Source organism: Homo sapiens, chromosome 10 (assembly GCF_000001405.40).
Source record: "Homo sapiens chromosome 10, GRCh38.p14 Primary Assembly".
In the NCBI taxonomy this organism is placed as follows: Eukaryota; Metazoa; Chordata; class Mammalia; order Primates; family Hominidae; genus Homo; species Homo sapiens.
Genome location: NC_000010.11, coordinates 642,577 through 669,625, shown reverse-complemented (window position 1 = coordinate 669,625; position 27,049 = coordinate 642,577). Strand labels below are relative to the sequence as shown.

Below are 27,049 nucleotides of genomic sequence, written 5' to 3'. Positions count from 1 at the left end.
TTACCTGCATCATAAACCAGTCTTAAAGAAAGACACAGTGTGACTTGTAGTGGATTATATCAGTTTTATTTTCTGTGGCTGAATCATCACTCTACATTGTGAATTAATGTTATTTTTCGGCTCATCTTCATAATGCAGGGAGGTTCTCCAGTGTTGAGTGCAGGTTCAGTGAAAGCGCTAACACTGTTACCACGGGCTTAAACGGACTTGTTTTCTGAGGCGATAACCCTGGAGTCAGGCATTCAGTGTCTGCCCATCACTTGGTTCCGAGTTCTCGGTCCCCTCTTGCTCTCCTCCCCCCGCACCCCCTTGCTTCTGTCTTGTCTTCTTTTTGACTAACAGGCCCTCTGCAGATGGTGTGTTGGGGGCCGGGGTCTGCTGTGAGTCTTTGATAACCTTGGGAAAGAACTTTTTCTTTGGAGCAAGACCCCTCTCAATAAACTTTCAGTAGCCCAACTATTGTCCGTTGTGTGAACTATTTGTGGAAAATGCTCAGCATTTTTCCTTGGATTCTGGCTGATCTTTCTCCACCTGCCAATTTCTCCTCAGTTTGCCGTGTCTGTACCGTCACCAACCCCGTTCCAGCCGCGGTTACATGTAAAGTAATTGAAGCAGAGCTCTGCAGATGAGAGAGTGTGTGTCGCCCCCCGAGTTCCCTTCCTGGCCTCTGAGTGTGAGTTGTGTTTTGTTCCGAGGGATGACTGAGGCTCCTGGCCCCTGTTTTGGAGCACCCCACACCAAAGTGGGTGTAAAATGAAAAAAGGGTTTATGCTATATTATTGTAATTCATGGAGCAGATGATAAACATGCTTGAATCTGAACAGCAGCTGAAAATGAGGACATGTTACCAGTTTGGATGTTGGATGACCTTCTTGAAAAAAGCTTTTGTCATACTTTAGAAACTGTGCATGTGCTGTTTTCTATTTCATACTTAGAATCTGTACAGTATGTGTTGTATGAATGTGTTGTATGAGCGTGTTGTGTTGTATGTGAGTGGCATGGGTTGTATGTGTGTTGTATGTGCATGTTGTGTTGAGTTGCATTCATTGTATGTTTGAGTGTTATGTGTTGTATGAGTGTGTTGTACATGTATTTGTGAGTTGTATGTTTTGTATGTTGTATGAGTGTTGTGTTGTATGAATGTGTGTTGTATGAGTGTTGTATGTGTATGTTGTATGAGTTGCATGTATTGTATGTTGTATGGGTTGTATGTTGTATGAGTGTGCTGTACGTGTTTGTGAGTTCCATGTGTTGTATGTTGTATCAGTGTTGTGTGTTGTGTGAGTGCCTTGTACATGTATTTGTGTTGAGTTGCATGTGTTGTATGTTGTATGTGTTATATGTTGTATGTTGTATGAGTGTGTTGTACGTGCATATTGTGTTGTGAGTTGCATGTGTTGTATGAGTGTGTTGTATGTGTATGTTGTGTTGTGAGTTGCATGTATTATGTGTATGCAATACACATATATGTTGTATGAGTGTTGTGTTGTATATGTTGTATGTTGTGTTGTGCATGTTGTGTTGTGCGTGAGTTGCATGTGTTGTGTGTGTTGTATGAGTGTGTTGTATGTGTATGTTGTGTTGTGAGTTGCATGTGTTGTCTGTATGTTGTATGAGTGTTGTGTTGTATGAGTGTTGTACATGCATGTTGTGTTGTGAGTTGCGTGTGTTGTGTGTGGTACGTGTATGTCGTGTTGAATGTGAGTTGCATGTGTTGTACATGTGCTGTATGAGTGTGTTGTATGTGTATGTTGTGAGTTGCATGTATGTTGTATGTGTTGTGTTGTATGAGTGCATTGTATGTGCATGTTGTGAGTTGTGTATGTTGTTTTGTATGAGTGTTGTGTGTTGTATGTGCATGTTATGAGTTGTGTGTGCTGTATGAGTGCATTGTACATGTGTGTTGTGTTGTATGTGTTACGTGTGCTGTATGTGTGTATGTGTTGTACGTACGTGTTGTGTTGTGAGTTGCATGCATTGGGTATGTGTTGTATGAGTGTGTTATAAATGCATATTGTGTTGTGAGTAGCATATATTGGGTATGTGTTGTATAGGTTGCATGTGTTGTGTGTGTTGTGTGTTGTCAGTGTTGTATATGTTGTATGAGTACATTGTACATGCATGTTGTGTTGTATGTGAGTTGCATGTTGTCAGTGTGTGCGTTGTGAGAGGCGGGGGCATCCACGTGACTGCTCCTCAGCAAGTCCTGCCGTGCAGCCCCTTCTGAGCGTGCGTCCTCCCGAGTAGCCTAGAAGCAGCAGCATGTTTGCCTCTGCCCCTCCCCAGGAGGCCTCAGCCAGGTCCTGTGCTCAGCCTGCCGTGGGCCATCTGCCTCTCTCGTCTCTCTCTCGTCGTCATCCTGCGCCTCCTCCCAGTCCTGAGTAGCTGGGATTACAGGTGCCTGCCACCACGTCTGGCTAGTTTTTGTATTATTAGTAGGGATGGGGTTTCACCATGCTGGCCAGGCTGGTCTTGAACTCCTGACCTCATGTCATCCGCCTGCCTCGGCCTTCCAAGGTGTTGGGATTACAGGCATGAACCACCGCACCTGGTCCGTCTGCCTTTTAGTTACAACCTGTGTGTTTTCTGTTTTAAATTTCATTTTTCCAGGTCAGAGCAGTAGTTTCTTTTTCGTGGTGTTGCTGTGAATGTCTGTTATGATTAGGAGACTGGGTGGGTGCCCTCTCCCTGGTGCCTGGCTCTTTCACATGAGGTGGGGGTCAGCTTAGCTGCTTCTGATTTTGGGAGGCGCACTGCTTCTTGGGGCAGCTTGCCGGCCGGGGTCTGCCTGTGGTATTTCCTGGGGAGCTACATCTGTCCCCGTAGGCCTGGGGAAGTAGGCAGGCCCTGAGTACACGCCTCAACACACGTGCCTTCCACCAGCCCCCAGGCCCACGTCCAGACCCCAGCTGCGTCCTGTGGTAGCCAGTTCAGCTGCTGCCACCACGTTTATTGAACTTTTAATAGCTGTGCGCAGACAGGCCACGGGCAGACAGGCCACGGGCAGACAGGCCACGGGCAGACAGGCCACGGGCCGACCTCGTGGCTTTGCTTACCCCCAGTTCTATGTTACCTGTGTGCAGAAACCGGCTGCTCCCGGAGTCCTGCAGGCTTGGTTTCCCCGGCCCCGACTCAGGCCACAGGATCTCAGTCTTGGGTGATTCTGCTGCCGCGGGCCGGGCTCTGGGTGCCAGTGGATTCCCCACGCGCGGTGTTACTCCCGTGTTCACATCAGTGCGGGAGGGCGGTGAGGGAGGGAGGCGGGGACGCTCTGGATTCTTCTCCCTGCTCCTCACCAGCTCTGAACGCAGACCAGCCGTTCGCCTCGTTGCTTTTCCAGGGATGTTGTGAGTCTTTCGTGGGTAGGGAGTGATGCCCTTTGCTTTCTTCTCGCTTTCCCGGTAGGTGCTGAAGGAATAATTAATAATAATAAGGCCAGTTCGGAGAAAACAAAAACTCACAATTACATATGTCACCCGGACTCGTATTATTCCAGATAGCCCTTCTTTCCCACGAACTCACAGCTGCTCTTCGTTCCTCCACCGTAGCCACGCGTGGAGGGAGAGCTGCGGGACCTGGGCCTTTCCAGGGTGCTGCCGGCCTGCGTTGGTGACGGCCAGCGCTGAGAAGTTAGAGCACCCCATAAGTGCCACGGCAAAGACTTCGGCGTCTGTTGGGGGAGGAAAGCGCTTCTTTGAGTGATTTCCACTTGATTATTTACCTCTTATCAGCAGATTGTGTGGAAGGATGAGTGAATTCAGTGTAAGATTTATGGAGTGTTCCTGTAAGAGATAAGCCTGGCTCTTGTTTTCCTTTCGATCTCGTATATTTCATCGGGTTCGTTTGATTGATGTGTTTTGTTTTGGGAAAGCGGCTGAGGAGGAGTCACGTGAGTCTTTGCTCAGGGATTTTCCAGTGTGGGAATCTGGCGCTGTGGTTTCGCGTAGCGTTTGGTTCTGGAGGGTGGAGGACGATGTCCCAGTCCGCGTGTGCCTCGTCACGTGGCGGCGAAAGCATGGATTCCACGAGTCTTTTGCTAGAGAAAATCCAGGCGCTCCCAACCAACTGTGTGTGCTTTCCTTTTGGAAATGTCTCTAACTCATATACTGAACTTAGAATTTATTTAGTGTTTCTTATGTGAAGTTTCCTGGAACTACTGAAAATATTTTCCATGCTAGATGATCGCGTTACTGGACTCACACAATTAAAACTTTTTCTTTAGATTACATAATTATTTATTACCTATCCCCCGTTTTTCTTTTCAGTTAAAAAAGCACCACCTAGAACAATGTCCTAATGATGCCACCATGATTAGTGTTAGAATTTAGCTGTAGAGTGAGGTTAATAATGAATTAACAATCACTAGTATATAATATAAAGCACGGTTAAGGTATATATGTATATTTTATGAACCATCCAAAGCAAAAAATAAATTAGGGTCAAGAGAACTCACAGGTGCAGAAGTGTTATTTTTATTTTCTGTTTTATTCAGGAAATTTAAATCTTTAAAGCTGTTTTTGTTTTGTTTTGTTTTGTTTTTTTAAATTTCAAGGTCAACTCCAACAGAATTGATCTGTTCCTCAGCAGACCTAGGGGAGAGTACAGGTGCTGAACAGACCTGGGTATCTGCTAGTCGCGATTCAGTAGATATTTTCTTGTTAGTTGGTAATTAAAACATCGTTATAAAGGTTTTAATGTACTTTTTGAGCTTTATTACTATATATTCCTTCAGGAGTCTGTGAGAACTCTCTACTTTGTTTTTTCCCGTCTATTTAGTATTAAGTTAGGAGTTTTAATTCCTTCTACCCTGATATTTATTTAAAAATTCCCTATATATTTGTAGATATATATTTGGTTCATTTTAAAATGCTTGATACATTAACATTTTAAAATATCAAAAATATTTCAGAATATACATTTTTTAAAATGTAAAAAGTAACAGTATAAAAAATTGAGATACATAAATTTTAAAAAATCATCCTTACAACTCTTAGTACCAATGATTTCTCTGTAGCATTGTAATGTTGATTAACCCGGACATATAACAATGATCAATAGTGTTAATGTGTCGAGTGTATAACTGGGCTTATGTGTGTCATTTTATTGGATGATTTATTAACCACATGAAACAGCCAGTGTTACGAAAAGGGACGTTTGAGGTTTAAAGCCTTTCCTGGGTCCCGCTGGGGGTGAGGTGGGTCTGGGCCTACCCAGGACTGCTGATAACAGAACACAGCGGACTTGGTGATTTTTAGTCAAGAACTCACAGAATTTCGGTGAATCTCCCCAAACCATTCCTTCTTTTCTCTCTCCTGGAGCAAAAGAGAATTGTTAGGTTCACGTGTTGTGTCTTGTGAACGTTTATCGATTGCAAGACCCCAGAGTTTGCACAAAAGGCAGATGGGAGTTTCTGTGTGGAGATACCCTGAGCAACGTTGAAAACACTGGATCCTTTGTGTCCGGGCTTTTCCCCTTGGCACTACGGATGCTCTGGCCCAGAGGAGCCTTTGTGGGAGGCCGTCCTCGGTGCCTGCGGTGCTGAGTGTCACCCCTGCCTCCCACCCTCTGGTGTGGCCCCCTGGAGCCCTTGTGGGGAGCCTTTGTTTTTTCCCGTCTTTGTTTTTTCCTCCTGGGAGGAGGCTGTCCTCGGTGCCTGCAGTGCTGAGCGTCACCCCTGCCTCCCACCCTCTGGTGTGGCCTCCCGGAGCCCTTGTGGGGAGGAGGCCGTCCTTGGCACCTGCGGTGCTAAGCGTCAGATCCCTGCTTCCCACCCTCTGGTGCCATCAGCATCCCTCCTCCCAGTAGAATCGCCCCTGCTTGAGAGCCGCTGCCTTAAGTGGTGGCGTGAGACGTGCAGGTTTGTGTTTCTTCATTAGGAGTTTTAAATTTCTGAAAATCTAGTTGTGATGACTGTGAAACATACCTGGATGTGGACCTTCGAGTAGACAAGCTTCCGGATCTGTCATGGCACACGCATTTCAACCTGCCCAGGCGTAAATCCGCGTACAACTTTATTTCTCAGACATCTCAGCCTTTTCGAGGCACGGCTCCTGCTGTCTTTGCGTAGCTACTTATGCCTCTAAATGCTTCTGTGTGCTGGAAGCTGCTGTCCTGTCCCTGCTTCCTGGGATGCAGGGCTGTGGAATTTCTGCTGTGTTCCATGAAGGGTTAAAGCATTCCAGGGAAGGAGATTCTGAGATCTCCCTTTTTAAAGACACTTTTAGTCAGGGAAGTGCTTTCCAGCCATGTCCGTCTGTTCTCTCCTGGGATGGACAGGGCAGCTACTGTCCCTGTTCCCGAGCCTCAAAAGCCATTACGAAGTTCCAGCCAGGCCTTTACTTTCCCAATCCTATTTCAGCTGATCTCAGCCTTCCCTTGTAGATCTTTCTATTCATTTAGTTGGCATCCTTGCTTTCTTGTACCATCTCCCAGTTTTCCACAGTTTATTTACACTGGACATAGAATTGCAACAGAAACTCACCCATGCTGAGGTAGGGCTGCCCCAGGGATCTCCCCCTCTGCAGACCAGGCTGCCCACTGGAGAGTGGTATCACTGGGTCACGGTCACCATCTGCCCCAGCAGGGTCCAGAGTGTTTAGAGTCTTTCCTGGACATAGAAACCCTTTTGTGTGACGTTCAGATAAAACCAATCAGCATGTTCTGTTAATCACAGAGGTCGGAGCTGAGAACCATTAGCGTACATCCACCTCTCCCGAGAGTGTTCACGCCTCTTCCACGTGGGGCTAGGCTGCTGCTGAGTGTGGTTCTGCTGGCTGTGGGTGTGGCCTCTTTCCTCAACCACAGCCATCGCAGGCCTGCCACAGTTTTGGTTCTTCTAAAAGAGAATAGGCAACACAAGAGAAATAAGATAAGTTAGATTTGAAACCTTTAAAAATTATTTCCTCAAACATTGTATATATTTTCTGCCCATACCTAATTTGATAACAATTTTAAAAAGATGAAAAAGAAAAAAAAATTCCCCCATATCAAGTCTTTGAAAGGCATCCATCTTAGTTTTTATCCAATCAATTACTCTCTCTTTGGAGTCATATTTTATTGGTTTAAGTAATGTGTAACAAGTACACTGGCATAAACAGATTTAGGAGCAAACACAGCTGCTTCATGATTAGCGTTCAGCTCGCGGGGCCCAGCTGTGGGGGTGCAGCCTGTGCCTGCCTGTGCGCCAATAGGGCTGGTCACCTTGAACATCCAGGAGTGTCTGGGTGAGTGAGGTCTGGGCAAGGCAGCATCCATACACCTGCGTAGTTCTCACTTTGTCCGCGTTATCTGGCAATGCCACAAAATTATCAAGCAAGTGTTCTCCAAGTGCGTATTCACTTAGCGTTTGGAAAGTGCATAGGTACCTCATACAGTACCTTCAGGAGGAGCTAGGAACCCAGGAATGAGAGCAGGTGTGAGGCCTGTACTCTTTGTGTATAGATAAAATATGCATGTGCCTATCTGAGGGCAGAAAGTTAGATTGGGGTCAGAATGTGGAAGTCCTTACCTGTCAGATACTAGGAAGCCACTGAGGGCTTCGGAGAGAATCGTGCCTTTGATGTGCGGTATGCTGTGGAGCCACGGGGGACAGGCCAGGCTCCTGCGGGGCACTCGCCATGGCGAGAGGAGGAGAGAAGGCAGCCAGTGAGCTGAGCGATTCAGTGCCTGGGTCAGGAGGGGAAGAGGGAGTGCAGGAAGGCAGATGAAGCTGTGAGTCTACACCCTGAGGTCGGCGTTGTGCTTTGCTGGAAATCAGGAGGAGAAGCAAGTGTGGACCTGATTCAGAGATACTTAGAGACACCACCGCAAGCTGCGAGTTTGGAAATATGGAAGGAGGCTTGGGGAAAATCCGGACCAGGGTGGATTTGGGAGCCTCCTACATAGAAGTGCAGGTCAAGGAGCCAGAGTGTGAGGTGTGCATGTCGGGAGAGAGGAGGCCAAAGGAAAGCCCACATTTGGAAATGGAGGAAGGGTCGGAAGACCCAGAAAAGGCCCTGCTTAGAGTCCAGAGAAGAGCTGCACGGTGCAGTTCCCTAAAGCCCAGAGCCGAGAGTTTCCAGGACAAAGTCCCAAGTGTTGCTGAAAACCAGGGGGTGGGACTCCAGCTGGAGGCAGCGAGGGGAGCCTGGTGGCCCTGATTCCTGGGAGCAGCCAGAGCCTGGGGGTCACGGCGGAAGCTGGTGAGAAGCGCAGGGAGCAGGTGGAGATGGTCCTTCGAGGCCTGGAGCCTCACACGGGTAGCCAGCCGTGGACCAAGACACAGCTGAGGAGGGGCCTCAACCCAGAGCGTCTCCAGGTGGAGGAGGGAGCCAGGAAGGGCAAAGGTACACGGAAGAAAGGGGGCAGGCATGGAGCCAGGTCCCCAGGGAGGCTGCAGTCTTCTCTCTCTGTTCAGGGACTGGTTGTTGGTTATTCTGAGTTCTCAAAGTCATCCACTCGGTGCGGTCCAGAGAAAGATCCCAGGGGCCTCAAGCCTGGAGCAGGCCTTGTGCTTTTCCCAACACTGTGCGTGTTGACTCAGGGTTACTGTCAATGGCTAATTCTAGTGTGTCTTTTGTTGAAGTCTGCAGAAAAGCCTCAACCAGCACCAGCTTTTGAAGGACTTACAAAACTTGTGTTCTTCTGATTCTGGGATTTTTGCCTGAAATGCCTCGTATATTTTTGGCTAGGTGTTGTTAGCACTTGTGTTACGGCATTTGGAGCTCTGTATTTTTGTGATGTGCTAGCTGTGAGGATGTTTAAAATTAGATTCCTAGAAATCAGGTTATAGGAGCTCTCGGCCACGCTTCATGGGTTATGTTTTGACACCTCATAGTGGATCCCGTTGCGGTGGCTATTCTTAGTATTTGTGGAACACCTGACTCTTGATGCTAGGAGAATGTTATTTGTTTTCTTTGTAAGCCTAAAGTCTAATGACCTTGTAGAGTCTTTATACCCATCTCTTATAAATCAGCTTTAATATGCTTGAAAAAGTCCTCATTGTGCCCTTGAAAAGCAGGTGCACATTTTAAAAGTCATCCTTTTAAAATCCTTTTCTCCAGTCTGTGCCCTTTGTCTGTTTCGTTTCCTTCACTGCAACATCATGAAACAGGGACAAGAGCTAGAATCTGTTTCATACACAGAGCTTGAAACAGGGACAAGGGCTAGAATCTGTTTCATACACAGAGCTTGAAACAGGGACAAGGGCTGGAATCTCCATTTCATACACAGAGCTTGAAACAGGGACAAGGGCTAGAATCTCCGTTTCATACACAGAACTTGAAACAGGGACAAGGGCTAGGATCTCTGTTTCATACACAGAGCTTGAAACAGGGACAAGGGCTAGAATCTCTGTTTCATACACAGAGCTTGAAACAGGGACAAGGGCTAGAATCTCCGTTTCATACACAGAACTTGAAACAGGGACAAGGGCTAGAATCTCTGTTTCATACACAGAGCTTGAAACAGGGACAAGGGCTAGAATCTCTGTTTCATACACAGAGCTTGAAACAGGGACAAGGGCTAGAATCTCTGTTTCATACACAGAGCTGAACTGGGCTGAGCGACCTGCTCTGCTGACGTCTGTTTCTGTCATGAGAGGGAACCTAGGCCTCTTGACATTTCCTTTTGTACATTTTCAAAAAGATTATTTTTTCCTCTCTCTGGTCCGTTCCACTGTGAGATTCTCTCCTAAGGCTGTTTCTTTGCCTTCCATTTTGACAACTATGATTTAGTTTCCGAGATGATGAAAGGGTAGTAAAAAGGCCTGGGAAAGAGAAAGCAGGAAGGGAAGGAATTATCTCATGATTTTAGTCAGAAGGAAATCACTCAGACAGAAACGCTTTTACAAGTGGTCAGATCCCGGGAAGTGGGATTGAATAAGTGGCATCGTATCACACAACCCTGTTTTACATTCTTGCTGTTGCCAGGGGTAACGAAAAGAACGAGTATATTCATTCCGAGGTCAAATATATATCTTTGCTGACTCTGACTATAATTAGCAGAATTCGTTCAATTCAAGTTTGAGAATACCTTTACAGAAGAGGGTCTTCAGGCATGTGTGCCTATTTCTATTCGTATGTTCACATGTATTTGAGTATGAATGTGTGTATGTGTGCTGTGTGTGAGACCTCATTATTTGAAATCAAGAAATGTGCAGTAAAGTAGAGTTTATTAATTACAAGAAGTTACATTTGGGGGATAAACCATTTTGTATAGAATTGAATAATGGGGTCTTTGAGGGGTGTATATATGTATGTGTGTTTGCATTTATGTGTATGAAAGTGTGTATTGCATGTATATGTGTTGTGCATGTATGTGTCTTGGTACTGTACAGATGCATGCATGTGTATATGTGTGCATGTGTATTTGTGTTGTATGTATGTGTGTGCATGTGTTACATGTTTAGGCATGACATCGCACACATGTGCAAGTATGCATGCGTGGATGCTCCTGTGTATATAGTTATAAATGTATATGTGTGCATGTTATGTGTATGCATTTACATATGTTTGTGTGTGCCAGAATGTATATGCATGAACATGTATGTATATGCATGTGTGTTTGAGTGTTGTATGTGCATGTATGTGTTACATGTTGGTATTATGAATGTGATTATGTGAATGTGTGTGCATGTGTGAATGTGTGTATTGCATGTATGTGTGTGTGCGCATGTGTGTGTGTGAGATATGTGTCTGTGCATGCATGCATATGCACATTTGATTTGTGAGTCCTCTCTGGGAGGGCCATGTTCCTGGAGAGAGTGCATGGGATCCTCCGCTGTCCTCTCAGGGAGAGAGATATTTTAAAGGTTTGAGCCATTAGGTAAACACGCCTGATGCTCTATAAAATATATATTTACATATACCATTGGGGTTAAATATATGTTAAATGGGTGCAAAGCTGTTATATTGCATTAAAAGTCATGTTAATACTTCCTTGTTAAAGGCTTTGTGAATGATTTCCTGCACATGAAACATAATACACCACACAGAATTACAGTGGGTCAGTGGTGATATTTGCCAGGAGGTCTGGCTAATGATTGGTATTTCTAGTTGCAGACATGCAGTTTGAGCTTTTCTGGACTTAAAGGAGGGTCACTGACTGCCCACTGAATGATGCCAGCAGCTCTGCCTCATTCTGTCGGCTTCATCCAGAGCTGGGACAGCTGCTCTCAGATGGATTGTACTTTTCTCTCCATAAAGGTCTGCAGCATTTGTTAGCAGTCCAGTAGCAGACCCAGCGGCAGGTCCAGGGTCAGGTCCAGTGTCAGGTCCAGCGGCAGGTCCAGGGGCAGGTCCAGGGGCAGGTCCAGTGTCAGGTCCAGCATCAGGTCCAGCGGCAGGTCCAGGGACAGGTCCAGGGGCAGGTCCAGGGGCAGGTCCAGCATCAGGTCCAGCATCAGGTCCAGCGGCAGGTCCAGCGGCAGGTCCAGGGGCAGGTCCAGGGACAGGTCCAGTGTGAGGTCCAGGGACAGGTCCAGCGGCAGGTCCAGCGTCAGGTCCAGGGACAGGTCCAGCGGCAGGTCCAGGGGCAGGTCCAGGGACAGGTCCAGCATCAGGTCCAGTGTCAGGTCCAGCGTCAGGTCCAGGGACAGGTCCAGGGACAGGTCCAAGGGCAGGTCCAGGGGCAGGTCCAGGGTCAGGTCCAGTGGCAGGTCCAGCGGCAGGTCCAGCGGCAGGTCCAGGGACAGGTCCAGGGGCAGGTCCAGGGGCAGGTCCAGGGACAGGTCCAGTGGCAGGTCCAGCGGCAGGTCCAGGGGCAGGTCCAGGGACAGGTCCAGCATCAGGTCCAGCGGCAGGTCCAGGGGCAGGTCCAGGGTCAAGTCCAGCGGCAGGTCCAGCATCAGGTCCAGGGAGAGGTCCAGCATCAGGTCAAGCGTCAGGTCCAGTGGCAGGTCCAGTGTCAGGTCCAGCGGCAGGTCCAGGGGCAGGTCCAGGGGCAGGTCCAGTGTCAGGTCCAGCATCAGGTCCAGCGGCAGGTCCAGGGACAGGTCCAGGGGCAGGTCCAGGGGCAGGTCCAGCATCAGGTCCAGCATCAGGTCCAGCGGCAGGTCCAGCGGCAGGTCCAGGGGCAGGTCCAGGGACAGGTCCAGTGTGAGGTCCAGGGACAGGTCTAGCGGCAGGTCCAGCGTCAGGTCCAGGGACAGGTCCAGCGGCAGGTCCAGGGGCAGGTCCAGGGACAGGTCCAGCATCAGGTCCAGCGTCAGGTCCAGGGACAGGTCCAGGGACAGGTCCAAGGGCAGGTCCAGGGGCAGGTCCAGGGTCAGGTCCAGTGGCAGGTCCAGCGGCAGGTCCAGCGGCAGGTCCAGGGACAGGTCCAGGGGCAGGTCCAGGGGCAGGTCCAGGGACAGGTCCAGTGGCAGGTCCAGGGGCAGGTCCAGGGACAGGTCCAGCATCAGGTCCAGCGGCAGGTCCAGGGGCAGGTCCAGGGTCAAGTCCAGCGGCAGGTCCAGCATCAGGTCCAGGGAGAGGTCCAGCATCAGGTCCAGCGTCAGGTCCAGTGGCAGGTCCAGTGGCAGGTCCAGCGGCAGGTCCGGGGGCAGGTCCAGTGTCAAGTCCAGTGGCAAGTCCAGCAGCATGTCCAGTGTCAGGTCCAGTGGCAGGTCCAGCCAACTTTCCACATGGCCCATGTGAAAATGTACCCACTCCCTTGCATTTTTTAAAGCAGTAGTTATTAGTAGAGCCTACTGCCATTTCTCCTTGAGTTCCTCACAGTGGATGTTAAGCATTTGCTTTATTAAAGCAAAGTTCCATGCTCTTTGTGCTAAGTCACCTCTGCCTTTCTGTGAGAGGCTAGAATTGGGATCGACCCTCAGCTGTGCCAGAGCCTTGGTACCTGTCTCAGTTCTGGAATCTACTCTGTCCTTGTTGCCTTCCATTCACCGACAGCCGTCTGTCTTCCTGTCACTCCTTCAACACGGAGTCCAGCAGTGTGCACACAGGTGAGCCTGTGTGGATGCTGGTTTCGTAGGATCTTATCGGGACCTCACTCATCTTTTCACTAGGAAATCAGACACTGCAAAGGACTTACAGAAAAGCCCAAAGAAGCCGTATTGATAGAATCATAGAGACAGAATTCTATAACCATAGGAAACGGCATTGATTATCATGAAATGTGCACTTACGTGTGGCATAGTAAAACATCACATTTGAATACCGCACTGGGTAAGAGCTTGGAAAAGAGATTATGAAAGTATAACTGGCTCTGCTCTTATGTAGTGGGACATGGTAAAGCGATGCCTGATACTGTATAGAATGGAACAAACAGGATAGAATTATACAGAGTAGTGCAGAATAGAACAAATAGTAGAGTGTTCGATAAGGTAGCATAGAGTAGAAGAAACAGTGTAACATATAGTATAGTATACAATAGGAGAAATGGTATAGCGTTATATAGGGTAGCATAGAAGGAACAGTGTAACATTATATAGTATAGTGTACAATAGGACAAATAGTATAGCGTTATATAGGGTAACATAGAATAGAAGAAACAGTGTAACTTATAGTATAGTGTACAATAGGACAAATAGAGTGTTCTATAGGGTAGCATAGAATAGATGAAACAGTGTAACATTATATATATAGTATACAATAGGACAAATAGAGTGTTCTATAGGGTAGCATAGAAGAAACAGTGTAACATTATATAGTATAGTGTACAATAGGACAAATAGTATAGCGTTATATAGGGTAGCGTAGAACAGAAGAAATAGTGTAACATATAGTATAGTATACAATAGGACAAATAGTAGAGTGTTCTATAGGGTAACATAGAATAGAAGAAACTGTAACATTATATAGTATAGTATACAATGGGACAAATAGTAGAGTGTTCTATAGGGTAGCATAGAATAGAAGAAACAGTGTAACATTATATAGTATAGTATACAATAGGACAAGTAGTATTACATAGTCTAGAATAGAACAAGTGGGATAGTATTGTAGAGTATACAGTTGAACTAACAACGTAGTATTGCATAGCATAATGTAGTCTAGATTAGAACACACAGCATGGTATTAATATTACATAGCATGGTGTGCAGTAGTAGAGTCGCAAAGCACAGAACAGAGAGGACAGTGACTATTACATAGCATAGTGTGGAATAGCAGAGTCGCATAGCACAGAACAGAGAGGACAGTGAGTATTACGTAGCGTAGTGTGGAATAGTAGAGTCACATAGCACAGAACAGAGATGGCAGTGACTATTACATAGCGTAGTGTGGAATAGTAGAGTCGCATAGCACAGAACAGAGAGGACAGTGTTCTGTAGCACTGCTGCAGGATTTTTGCTCTTTAGCTCAGCTGGGTCCGGGTTCTTGTCTCACAACCAGGAAGAAACAGACACATGGACATCGAAGACTGAGTGCAGTAGAATTTATTAAGCGAAAAGGAAAGGTCTCAGCAAAAAGAGGGGTCCTGAGAGCAGGTTGCTGGTTGCCCCCTTCCCAGTTGACTACAAGGGCTTTTACATAGAAGCTGATGGGGCTGGGCTCCCTGTTTGCATAAGGAGCGAATTTCTGGTGGCTCCACCCCATTCCCCCATGTGTATGGGGACCCTCAGTCTACTGTGAGCATGTTTAGGCAAGCCCCCTGAGCAAGTTCCCCTATCTGCACAAAACATGGGCTGGAGGCTGTCTGGGACCCTTCGCTTACTGTCTGCCTAAAGCAAGCTGGCTAACTCCTTTCAGTATAGAAGAAAATAGTATAGAATAGAACAGATAGTACAGTATTATATAGTGTAGAATGAAACAGTATAATATTGTATCGTAGAGAATGGAATAGTATAGAATAGAACAAACCGATCATAGTAGTGTAGTATAGAATAGTAGCCTCGCGCAGCATGGGGCAGTGTTGTGCTCCATACTACAGAGTATAACCACCAGGAGAGCGTTCTTCAGTGGGGCGTTACTGGCCCTTCATATTTCTTTAGTTCTATGAAAATGAGGACAGGGAGATAAGAGGGGGAGGAGGTTGGCTTTCTTACTTTTAAGGCACTCATTACTTCCTGGGGATCATTTGATGGTCCTCTTTGGTAGTGTTCTGTGAAGCAGTCTGTATACTCTGTGTAGGATGAAATGAGATGTTTTCTGTAAACAGTTGTCTCATGCCTGGCACATGGCAGAGCCTCCGTGGATCTTGCTGTTGTGAATACACTGATGACGTCTCTACAGTGCCCTCCACGCTATAAATACTGTGCATTGTAGGAAGTCCGGGCCTTTTCAAAGGCTGGGTTTCATTTTAACAAAATTGGAAAGCCGTGCATATTTGGAATGGCCAGATCATCCTGCACCTAAATGACTTCACCTGTCCAGCTGGGTACAGAAACGGGCTTCTGTCTTTTGTCCCATTCTTTCATCTGGCAGTCTCTTCTGAGAAACCTTGACTTTGTTGTCAGAAAAACACTGATTAGCATGAGATCAGATAGCAGCTGTGAAGAATGAAAGCGTCACTACCAATCTCCGGCAGCGTCTGATAAGGAGAAATGCACCTCCCTGCGTGCTGCCAAGGTTTATGGAGCAGAATTCCCTGACGCCACTGCCCTCACTGCCTGTGCGTGCATCTGCTGTGGGGTCATTTCCTTATTGGACTTGGCTGGGGACCTCCTGAGGGGTGGATGGGTCAGGACTGGGTAATTTGGGGAAGGTATTCGTGGTGTTCCTGTTTGCAGTCTGTGTCCCAGTTGGAAGAGATGCTTTTAGTGCATCCATTAATCCAGACATGATTAGCAAGGGTGTCTCTCCCAGGTAAGAGTTGGTGCGTCTCTTCTGAGTGTCTTTCTCAAGTCTGTTACAAAGAGAACTTTGGTTTCTCAAGGTTTAAGAATTAATGTCAAAGAGCAATTTAGTGTTCGAGTCACCAGCCTTGCTGTGGATGATTGCTGAGTCCTCGGAGGTTAGGGCCACAGCACAATTGGTGGGCCGTCTGTTCCCCACCCTGGTGGAGACTTTCTCACCCAAAGAAATGTATTCTGTTAGTATGTCTCAATTAGAATATTTTAGTAGGAGACAGTTATGGCTCTTGTTTTAATTTGTAGTGGATGATTACTGTAGCAGGATCAAGGTTGAGACTTGCAGCGTAGCTCATGTAAAGCATTGATTTTAAACACCCAAAATATATTGCCAGCTTCGTTGCCGTGGCTCCAAGGGACTAGGAATGCATATGTTGTTTTTTGTTATTATTTTTTATTTTTATTTTTGAAACAAGAGTCTCGCTCTGTCACCCCGGCTGGAGTGCAGTGGTGTGATCTCAGCTCACTGCAACCTCCACTTCCAGGGTTCAAGCAGTTCTTGTGTCTCAGCCTCCCGAGTAGCTGGGATTACAGGCACCCGCCACCATGCCCAGCTAATTTTGTATTTTTAGTAGAGACGGGGTCTCACTGTGTTGGCCAGGCTGGTCTCAAACTCCTGACCTCAAGTGATCTGCCCACCTTGGCCTCCCAAAGTGCTGGCATTATAGGCATGAGCCACTGTGCCTGGCTGCCATGACCATTTTAAATGTGGCATTGAATATCTGCTTTTTTTTTTTTTAAGGCAGTACAGACGTCACCCCTCACACCTCTGTTCTGGGGCTGGTCTGGGCTGGCCAGGAGGGCTTCCAGGCTCGAGGCCGCGTCTGAAGTGTTGTTGGACAATGTGGAGCTGTGACCCCTTGGTCTTTGGGGACGTGGGGCACCTTGAGATGCCCACAGTCTTGCGAGGGTTTATGGCTCAGTGTGTGGCTGCTGCGAGGTAGCTGTGGGCGGGGAGGAAGGAGAGCAGGGTCCATCTGTCCTGGTGTGGAAAATGCCCAAGAAAGTCAAGAAATGGTACAAAAAATCATCATCTGCCCTGGTGCCATTTCTGTTTAAAAAAAAAAAAATCACTCTGCGTGCGGTTCTGTGCTTGAGGAGGATAGAAAATACCTAGAAAGACGCACAAAGTGTTCTCATGGGGTCAGCACCGGGAAGTGGGATGGGAGGCTTGGGAGTGTGTGGAAAGGAGGACATGGTGTTATTTTGTTCTGTTTTATTTGGTAGAGCAAGTGATCAAAGTGAAGCTTGAGTGATTGGCGCAGCTTGGCCTGGCCATGGGTAGATCCCAGCATGTCCCGCCTCCCACTGCAGCTCCGTTTCTCGGTCACGGATGAGACAGGTGGCCTGAGGCTGTGGGCGGAGGAGGGGCAGCCCGGTGTCCCCAGCAGGTGATTGTCCAGGCTATTCTTGGGCCAGCCTGAGGGAAGGGGTGGAGGAGAGCTGGGAGGGTGCACAGTGCGCCCCCCCGCCACCCCACCCCGGGACTGGAACTCAGTTCTCAGCCTCGGGCTGGGAGGTGAGCCCAGGCTGCTGTCGATGGAGGAAGATGCCGAGGAAGATGCCCTCAGGATGGAGGAAGATGCCAGTGGAGTTTGGTCAGCAGCCAGCGTGGTCTTTCCCGCAGGGGATACGCAGTGCGCCCACTTGCAGGAAAAACGCTGCTTTAGTTTTTGAATTTTGCTCATTCTGTTTATCGTGCTGCTCATGCTAAGATTTGGATATCGTTGGTAGGAATCAGTGTCAATTGCATACAGTTGACTCTTGTACCACACAAGCTTGAGCTTTGTGGGTCAACTTATATGTGAATTTTTTCAACCAAACTCAGGGAGAAAATACAGTGTTCCTGCCATGTGAAACGTGTGTCGGAGGGCCGACTCTGTACACGCAGGTTCGGCAGGTCCACTTGTGGGGCGTGAGTGTGCCTGGATTTGGTGTCCATGGGGTCCTGGAACCGACTCCCTGAGTACAGCGAGGCCGTTTGCAGTAGCAGGTGGTTTCTTTTGTAGTTTCCCCATTGGTTTCGCCCCACACCATCTCTCTCATGCCGCAGCTGCTGCTGATGATGACTGATGACCTGGGTGGGCGATGCCAGGCCCCCTCTCAGCTCAGGCCACTTCCTTGGAGAGACTCCTGTGCTAAGGGCACCATTTAGCAAAAGTCCAGATTTTGGGATACGGAAAATTTGGGGGACGTGAATTCACTCAAATAAATGTTCAAAGTTGGCCTCAGAGCCTTGCGTTCTTGTTTTATAAAAGATGCACCTTTTGGGGGAAATACTGCTTAACAACATTTAACTGGAAAGGCACTGAAACAAAGTTAAGCTTTTTTTGCATAATACCTTCACGTGGATACGGATTTTCATATAATTGTAATTGTTACTCATACATTCTACTAAGTCTTCTGCTATTTTTACTTAACGACTTAACATACTTGTTCATTCAGTCACGAGTTTGGTTGTTCCACAGTTTGCTGGGGCCTCCCTGGGACCTGAGCACAGTGCTGGGGATGCAAAAGTAGGTGGTTCCTGATGGGATCGTGTCCACGTTGGTGGCTCTGCTTGTAAGGAGTCCACGTTGGTGGGGGAGGCCGACTGGTGACCGGAACCCACGCTGTGACGCCATCATTGGTGTGATGCAGGTGAGGACAGGGTCTGTAGATATGCGTGGAGGACGGTGGTCCCAGACCTGGGCAGGTGGAGGTGCCCCTGAGGCCCCCAGTGGACATTGACTGAGTGTGGCGAGAGCTGGCCAGGAGAGAGTTTGGGAGGTGTGGGAGAGACAAGAGCAGGAGGGGTGGCAGGGGCTAGGATGGAAAGGGGCTTCTGCAGAAACGGGGGCTGGGGCCTGAGCCCTGGCACCGGGAGAGATGGAGAGAGGGCAGTGCCGGCTTTGGAAGAGAAACAGCCAGAGCTGTGTAGCCTCGGGGTCCTGCATGGACACACCCTCAGCTTCCCCCGTGAGGCCCACGAATCCCAGGGGGAGTTTGTGTTATGCCACGGACCTCTCACAAGTGGGGGCTGAGGCAGAACTGAGGACATCTGGGTTCCATGGTGGATCAGCCAGGATTCTGGTTGCAAATTACAGAAAACAACTTAAACTTATGCAGGGAAGTGAGCATGAGGGGGGGTCGGCCCAGAGCACTCTGGCCAGAAGCCATCTGGGCTCTAAGGCTGGGAGGCCCCTTGCCAGCTCACGTGCTGTGGAATGGCTTCCCCGCCTCCGGCCCTCGGCAGGTGGAAGGTGCTGCCTGGCAGCCCCTGCAAACTGAAGGGGCCCACGTCCCTCCTGGCTCTGCATCCCATTCTCAGGGACACGGCTGTCATGGGGGGACCAGCTGGGGCAGGGGAAGAGTATAGGGAACCCAGTAGAAGTGGCCGTGGACTCTCTTAGGAACGATAACCGGGTCACCTACCATAGATGAAGATGTTGTCGGCCTGCGTTCTTCTCGTGTTGGTCTGGGGCGTGTGGCTGCCGTGGGCTGGCGTTATCCACAGCCCCGGTCTGGGGCTTGCAGTGGCTGTGGGCTGGCGTGGTCCACAGCCCCGGGCACCATGGTCCCTGGCCCTGAAATCGCATCCAGTGCTGTGTCACCTCGGGCCAGCTGTCTCCTGAGGGGAAGGGAACAGGGAACAGCCCTCCCCGTGTGGCCTCCCCAGCACCACCCACCCCGCAGGACCTCCAGTGTTGACTCTGCTGGGGTCTTCTCTCTCCTGGGGGGTCCTTGTCCCAACGGGAGGACTCCATGGGCCGCAGGAGGTGTCAAGCTATTTTCTCTCCTGGAACTGGGTTGCTGGCAGCTCCCAGATGCAGGAGGAAAGGCTCAGAATTGCCTTCCTAATAAGGAATTGTTGATGTGAACTTTGGACGGCAAACACTGCTTACATTTCCTTTTCCGTTTTGATGTGTTAATGGTGTGCGGCAACGCCGTGACGCACGGGGACGCAGGTGACGGGCACCCCCCCACAAGGGGACCATGCACCTGTTTGATAATAAGGCATGCTTCTCTTACTGCAAATAAAAACTTCAATGGTTTTCTGCCAGAAAGACCCTGTCTTTTATGTAGGATACATAGAGGATCATTTGGCAAGTGATTGGGGATTTTGGGTTAAACTAAAAATAAATTAATTTCATTTTATAGCACTCTGAACACATTTGAGTTAATTATTCATCGAGAATTTGAATAGCACACACTGTTCTGACTTCCGACTTCCCCCAATGAATGGCATTTGCTGTAACGTGACAAAACCCTGAGTCTTAGAATTATTGGGTAATGTGAAAAAAGGAAAAGTTGGTTCTCTGTTGTTTTGCTTTAAGGAAATTATATTATTTTACAGTCACTTAGTTTTCTCCTTTCCAATAAGAAAAATTGCTTTCTTACTACCTGAAAATTCGTGAAGGTCAAGGGGACACACCCTGCAGTGCATTAAAAGCCACCATCAAATGTGGACCTGGACTCAGTTTCCCTCTGTTCCCTCCCACCCTCAAATGTGGACGTGGACTCAGTTTCCCTGTTCTCTCCCACCATCCAATGTGGACGTGGACTCAGTTTCCCTCTGTTCTCTCCCACCCTCAAATGTTGACGTGGACTCAGTTTTCCTCTGTTCTCGCCCACCATCAAATGTGGACGTGGACTCAGTTTCCCTCTGTTCTCTCCCACCGTCAAATGTGGACGTGGACTCAGTTTCCCTCTGTTCTCGCCCACCGTCCACTGTGGACGTGGACTAAGTTTCGCTCTGTTCTCTCCCACCGTCCAATGTGGACGTGGACTCAGTTTCCCTATGTTCTCTCCCACCATCCAATGTGGACGTGGACTCAGTTTCCCTCTGTTCTCACCCACCCTCAAATGTGGATGTGGGCTCAGTTTCCCTCTGTTGTCTCCCACCATCAAATGTGGACGTGGACTCAGTTTGCCTCTGTTCTCTCCCACCATCCAATGTGGACGTGGACTCAGTTTCCCTCTGTTCTCTCCCACCCTCAAATGTTGACGTGGACTCAGTTTTCCTCTGTTCTCGCCCACCGTCAAATGTGGACGTGGACTCAGTTTCCCTCTGTTCTCTCCCACCGTCAAATGTGGACGTGGACTCAGTTTCCCTCTGTTCTCGCCCACTGTCCACTGTGGACGTGGACTCAGTTTCGCTCTGTTCTCTCCTACCGTCCAATGTGGACGTGGACTCAGTTTCCCTATGTTCTCTCCCACCATCCAATGTGGACGTGGACTCAGTTTCCCTCTGTTCTCACCCACCCTCAAATGTGGACGTGGACTCAGTTTCCCTCTGTTCTTGCCCACCCTCAAATGTGGACGTGGACTCAGTTTCCCTCTGTTCTCGCCCACCATCCAATGTGGATGTGGGCTCAGTTTCCCTCTGTTCTCTCCCACCATCAAATGTGGACGTGGACTCAGTTTGCCTCTGTTCTCTCCCACTGTGAAATGTGGACGTGGACTCAGTTTCCTTCTGGTCTCGCCCACCATCCAGTGTGGACGTGGACTCAGTTTTGCTCTGTTCTCTCCCACCATCCAATGTGGACGTGGACTCAGTTTTGCTCTGTTCTCTCCCACCATCCAATGTGGATGTGGACTCAGTTTCCCTTTGTTCTCGCCCACCGTCCAATGTGGACTTGGACTGTTTCCCTCTGTTCTCGCCCACTGTCCAATGTGGACGTGGACTCAGTTTCCCTCTGTTCTTGCCCACTGTCCAATGTGGACGTGGACTCAGTTTCCTTCTGTTCTCGCCCACCGTCCAATGTGGACGTGGACTGTTTCCATCTGTTCTCGCCCACCGTCCAATGTGGACGTGGACTCAGTTTCCCTCTGTTCTCTCCCACCGTCAAATGTGGACGTGGACTCAGTTTCCCTCTGTTCTCTCCCACCGTCCAATGTGGATGTGGACTCAGTTTCCCTCTGTTCTCTCCCGCCATCAAATGTGGACGTGGATTCAGTTTCCCTCTGTTCTCTCCCACCATCCAATGTCGACGTGGACTCAGTTTCCCTCTGTTCTCTCCCACCGTCAAATGTGGACGTGGACTCAGTTTCCCTCTGTTCTCTCCCACCATCCAATGTGGACGTGGACTCAGTTTTGCTCTGTTCTCTCCCACCATCCAATGTGGACGTGGACTCAGTTTCCCTCTGTTCTCTCCCACCATCCAGTGTGGACGTGGGCTCAGTTTCCCTCTGTTCTCTCCCACCATCCAATGTGGACGTGGATTCAGTTTCCCTCTGTTCTCTCCCACCATCCAATGTCGACGTGGACTCAGTTTCCCTCTGTTCTCTCCCACCGTCAAATGTGGACGTGGACTCAGTTTCCCTCTGTTCTCTCCCACCATCCAATGTGGACGTGGACTCAGTTTCCCTGTTCTCGCCCACCGTCCAATGTGGACGTGGACTCAGTTTCCTTCTGTTCTCGCCCACCATCCAATGTGGATGTGGACTCAATTTCGCTCTGTTCTCTCCCACCATCCAATGTGGACGTGGACTCAGTTTCCCTCTGTTCTCTCCCGCCGTCCAATGTGGACGTGGACTCAGTTTCCCTCTGTTCTCTCCCGCCGTCCAATGTGGACGTGGACTCAGTTTCCCTCTGTTCTCTCCCACCGTCCAATGTGGACGTGGACTCAGTTTCCCTCTGTTCTCTCCCACTGTGAAATGTGGACGTGGACTCAGTTTCCCTCTGTTCTCTCCCACCGTCCAATGTGGATGTGGACTCAGTTTTCCTCTGTTCTCTCCCACCGTCAAATGTGGACGTGGACTCAGTTTCCCTCTGTTCTCTCCCACCGTCAAATGTGGACGTGGACTCAGTTTCCCTCTGTTCTCTCCTACTGTCAAATGTGGACATGGACTCAGTTTCCCTCTGTTCTCGCCCAGCTTGCCACCATGGCTCATTTCACTTTCACTCAGGAAAGGAAGAAACATTGTTTTTAATAGGTATGAAGGCAGTTGTTTTTAACCTAAGGAACAGAACATAATTCTAGCAATGGAAATTACCAACCGAGTCTGTGTGAGGTTTGGAAGAAAAAAAGGATTTTCACTTCCACACTCTGTGTGTGCCCACCTCCCCCAGTTGAGAGTCACAGATTTAATTACTTTAATTTTGAGCTTAAAATAATTTGACAGCCTAACAAAAACTACTACAGTCCTATAAAATTCTGCTTGTGTGTTTGGTTTTTCAGTTGCTTGGCTTAATATGGTGAATGAATGCATTATGAGTTGTTATTTTAGTAATTGCTATAAAAATTAATGTACGTTATAGCCAAGTGTTATAAAATTAATTTAACAGCAAAGTAAAACTAAAGCTGCATTGATTTCTCACTGTACTTGTGCTTAAAGACGGCTCCATGAGGCAGGCCCTGTGATCCTGCAGGCCGGCAGGAGCAGGTGCTACCTGGCTGGTGCGGTCGCCACCCGTCCCCTCTTGCTGCCAGGCAGCTTTGCAGTTTCCAGGCTATGGGGGAGTCGAGGCGGGTGGTCAGTAAGAGACAGTGGGGAGTTGGGTGGTGCAGGTTGGCGTGGGGTGGAAGGAGGCGTGGAGTGTGGGTGTGGAGAGCCTGGGGGAGGCTGGACAGCAGCTCCAGTACCTGCACAGGGGGACAGGGTGCGGGGGGCACGGGGCAGTGAGTCGCTCCTGGAAACAGCCCTTGGGGTTTTTATAGATGGGCCTGTCGTCAGCTCTGCACCACATTCCTGCTGGGGCTGGGTGGAGAGTGGAGGCCTCGAGCATGCGTTTCTCCAGGTGAGGGCCCAGCTGACACAGCCAGTGTTTCCTGGAGGCCCCTCACCTGGGAACGTGCCCCTGCTCTTCTCAGAACAAAATAAATCTTAAACTCTACACATCACCTTTCCAGAAAGTGTTTAAGTCTGTGTGCCTGTTAACTCACCTAAATTTAAAGAGTAATGATACAATATGCTTCTTTTTAGGGGAGAAAACTTAGCTGATTTAAAAGATAAAATCAGAGGTCGGGGGACGCAGCATTTTGGGGGAGACAGGGTTTATGTCCTAGTGGTCAGCAGTGTTTCCTGAACTATTGTGTTTGCTCTATTATTACATTACAGAAGTGACACGTCAAACCTAGGGAAATAGGCAAAATAGCCCCCCCCATTCAGAGATAAACGTTATCAACATATTCATGCACTTCCTTCTGTTTTTGCTGTTTGCTTTTTAAGACCACGTTCATAGGATGGGTATATAATTGTTTACAGTGACTTTAAAAGCACCTTTCTTGTTAAAAAGAGTATTTTTTCATTCTGGAAAATTTAGACAACATGTTTTGTTTAAAAATTACTTATAATACCACCATCAAGTCATCAATGTTTTTATACATTCTCTTGGTCTCTTTATGGACTTAATATATACAATTTAACAGATGGGAAATAACATAATTTTATGAGTAAAATGTTTCTTGGCGTTAGAGATGGAGCAGAGAGGAGGCACAGGGCTTCCTGCTGGCTGAGGTGTGTGGCCAGGGTGTGACCAGTGGCCTCCCAAGTTTAGGGTCTGCATGGAGAAGGATTTCTAAATCACCTTACACCACACCCCCTGCAGCCGTGTGCCACTTTGATAAGGGGGTGTACTCTGATAGACTTTTCAAGACAAGACTCTGCTGGATCTGAGGCTGTTTTGGCTGCTTCTGGAGACTCAGCTCTGGAACGTTCATGCCAGCTCTCCCTCAAGACCCCACGGATGCCATGTCCTCATCTTTTGGAATCCAGTGTTGTAGAGGAGAAGTCTGAGGCCAGTTTGATTTTTGCTTCATGGTAGGAAACTGATGTTTTCAGGCTTTTCCCCTTTATTTCCATGATGAAGATGATGTCCCACCTCATCCGGAGGGGTCTTTCTTGTCTTGTCGGGAACATCCAGCTTTTAGGTGCCTCTTCAGGTCCTCAGTCCCTTTCTCACCTTCCTCACAGTCCTCCCCATCTCATCCATCTTCACTGTAATTCGGTTATTTTTTCATTTTTATGCTCACTTTCCCATGCGACTTTTGTTCTTGTTTCACAGATGCTGGTGCTAAATTGTATGTCTGAGGCCCAGGGGCCGTGTTTCATTCTGTCTGCCTCTGCATGTACTTTTGAGAAGTAGGGGCAGGGTTGCCCCCTAGATGCTGTTTCAGCTGGACCTGCCCAGGCTCCCTGAAGTGGGGGCATTGGGCAGAGCCCATGTGGCTCTATGGTGGGCCGTGTTGCTGAACCCTACGTCTGAGATTTGGGGGCCGTGTTTCATTCTGTCTGCCTCTGTGTGTACTTTTGAGAAGTGGGGGTGGGGGTTGCCCCCGGACGTTGTTTCAGCTGCACCTGCCCAGACTCCCTGAAGTGGGGGCGTCAGGCAGAACCCGTGTGGCTCTACGGCGGGCCGTGTTGCTGACAGAGCAAGAAGCCGCGCTCCCAGGACGCGCCTGCAGCTGTGGGCAAGTCTGGGATTGTGATGGGATCGTTTCCTTCTCTAAAATACGTCTCAACTATTATCCAGAGGGTTGGCTGTAGGCTTTCAACAGCTTCACTCTTCTTAGTGACCAGGAGACAATTCACTAAACAGAGTTGCTGTCAGGGTTTAATTAGTCAGGAGTTTCTGCCAGAGGCTGGCGGGACAGCTCCCTCTGCAAGCCTCCTGCAGCCTCCCCATCCCCACTCTTGGGCCCGGCCACCTGCCTTGGTCTGCAGAAGGTGCACATTCTCTGTTCTCCTGAGGGGCTCCTGGACTTCAGGACAGCCTTGGCAAGCTGATGTGTAACTCCCAGTCTCTTCTCTTTTTTAGTAAGGAATACGCTCACGGAATCCTGACCTTCTAGATTGTTTCATCTTTTTAAAACAGCCGCAGCTTCCTAAGCCACCTTGTGTCTGAGTGTGAATCACTTATTATTTTTCACTGCAGAATGAACAGAACTGGAATCATAGGATTTAGAGGGTGATAAAAAGACAGAGGTTAGGATATTCTATTTTCTCACCTCTTCCATACACTTTTTCCTTAAATACACCCTCATACGTCTGTGAAGTTCTTCCCAATTCTGTAACTTCACTCCACCCTCAGGTGGAACATTTGTGAACAGTAACAAGTATTGATGTGTGCAACTCTGCAACCCAGCTGGAATTAATGCTTTTTATTTATCAATGGATGGTCATTGGATGGCCAGAGGGATTCCCTGTGCATTGTGGGGGCCCAGTGCCTGCTTGTGAGTGACATGGACATAACGAGGGTTAGGGAATCTCAGCCTCTGTGATTCGAGTAGTGACATCAAGGCAGGTGGATGACTCTTTGAGCTTGGCATGCTCCTGGGTGGCACAGCACAGGTGACGTGGACTGGGGCAAGGGCTTGTTCCACGGGCTTCTGTGTTGTTTTTTGTTTTTGTTTTTTTTTGAGATGGAGTCTCACTCTGTCACCCAGGCTGGAGTGCAGTGGTGCGATCTCAGTTCACTGCAGGCTCCGCCTCCCGGGTTCGTGCCATTCTCCTGCCTCAGCCTCCCCAGTAGCTGGGACTATAGGTACCCGCCACCACGCCTGGCTAATTTTTTTGTATTTTTAGTAGAGACGGGGTTTTACCGTGTTAGCCAGGATGGTCTCGATCTCTGACATCATGATCCACCCGCCTTGGCCTCCCAAAGTGCTGGGATTACAGGCCTGAGCCACCGTGCCCGGCCTGTTTTTTTTTTTTTGAGACGGAGTCTCACTCTGTTGCCCAGGCTGGAGTGCAGTGGCGCGATCTTGGGTCACTGCAACCTCCACTCACTGCAATCTCTGCCTCCCGGTTCAAGCCGTTGTCCTGCCTCAGCCCCCAAGTAGCTGGGATTACAGACATGTGCCACCATGCCTGGCTGATTTTTGTATTTTTAGTAGAGACGGGATTTTGCCATGTTGGTCTGGCTGGTCTTAAACTGTTGGCCTCAAGTGATCTGCCCACCTTGGCCTCCCAAAGTGCTGAGATTACAGGTGTGGGCCACCGTGCCCGGCCCTGTGTTTGATTCTTAAATCTTCTTTTTCTTTTTAATCTTTCTCTTTCTGGAGGACCACTCAGTGGATATGAGGAAGAGTTCACAGATGTCCATATTACATTCCTTTCTTAAATTAGCCTCCCTTGAACACTGCTGTAGGGTACAGACGCATGAAGGGCTGAAAGGGTGGTTGTGTCCCAGTAAGTGTGAGAGTGGAGCTGGTCTGTGAGACCCCGGTGCCGGTGAGGGCACCCGTGTGCGATGGCCTGGGACGGGGGTGTGCGGAGCCCTGACCGTGGCACACGCCCTTCAGCTTTGATGTTTCAGGCCCTTGCTCTGGTCATCAGTGAGCAGAAGGTCTAACA

The 27,049-nt window shown here is 48.7% G+C and overlaps 2 protein-coding genes and 1 long non-coding RNA gene across 11 annotated transcripts in view, besides 2 other annotated features; 2 read left to right on the top strand and 1 right to left on the bottom strand.

Annotated features, from left to right (window-relative positions):
- Nucleotides 1–27,049, top strand: part of DIP2C (disco interacting protein 2 homolog C) — a 415,468-nt gene that overhangs the window by 20,043 nt on the left and 368,376 nt on the right. The gene's annotated exons all lie outside the window — the stretch shown is intronic.
- DIP2C-AS1 (DIP2C antisense RNA 1) lies at nt 51–19,591 on the bottom strand. Of its 5 annotated transcripts, NR_187391.1 has the most exons (4): nt 19,448–19,591; nt 19,184–19,335; nt 7,508–7,600; nt 51–6,835 (listed from the first exon to the last, which is right to left on the bottom strand). It is a non-coding gene; the product is annotated as a DIP2C antisense RNA 1 (long non-coding RNA). The 5 variants fall into 5 exon arrangements; NR_187390.1 differs by having other exon boundaries at nt 19,184–19,591; NR_187392.1 differs by lacking the exons at nt 51–6,835; nt 7,508–7,600 and adding an exon at nt 16,971–18,838.
- Nucleotides 5,116–5,643: an enhancer, noted in NCBI's record as "H3K4me1 hESC enhancer chr10:709923-710450 (GRCh37/hg19 assembly coordinates)". NCBI's record gives its function as "activates a minimal SCP1, AML or CMV promoter by ChIP-STARR-seq in naive H9 embryonic stem cells {active_cell/tissue: H9 hESC(naive)}" and the evidence as "EXISTENCE:reporter gene assay evidence [ECO:0000049][PMID:30033119]".
- LOC124902361 (uncharacterized) overlaps nt 15,194–27,049 on the top strand; it is a 29,261-nt gene continuing 17,405 nt past the window's right edge. Inside the window, exon 1 of the mRNA XM_047426106.1 lies at nt 15,194–27,049. This exon is cut by the window's right edge and continues 17,405 nt beyond it. Coding sequence (XP_047282062.1) covers nt 20,955–22,709 — 1,755 coding nt within the window. The 5' untranslated portion in view covers nt 15,194–20,954 and the 3' untranslated portion in view covers nt 22,710–27,049.
- Nucleotides 18,268–19,090: an enhancer, noted in NCBI's record as "H3K27ac-H3K4me1 hESC enhancer chr10:696476-697298 (GRCh37/hg19 assembly coordinates)". NCBI's record gives its function as "activates a minimal SCP1, AML or CMV promoter by ChIP-STARR-seq in naive H9 embryonic stem cells {active_cell/tissue: H9 hESC(naive)}" and the evidence as "EXISTENCE:reporter gene assay evidence [ECO:0000049][PMID:30033119]".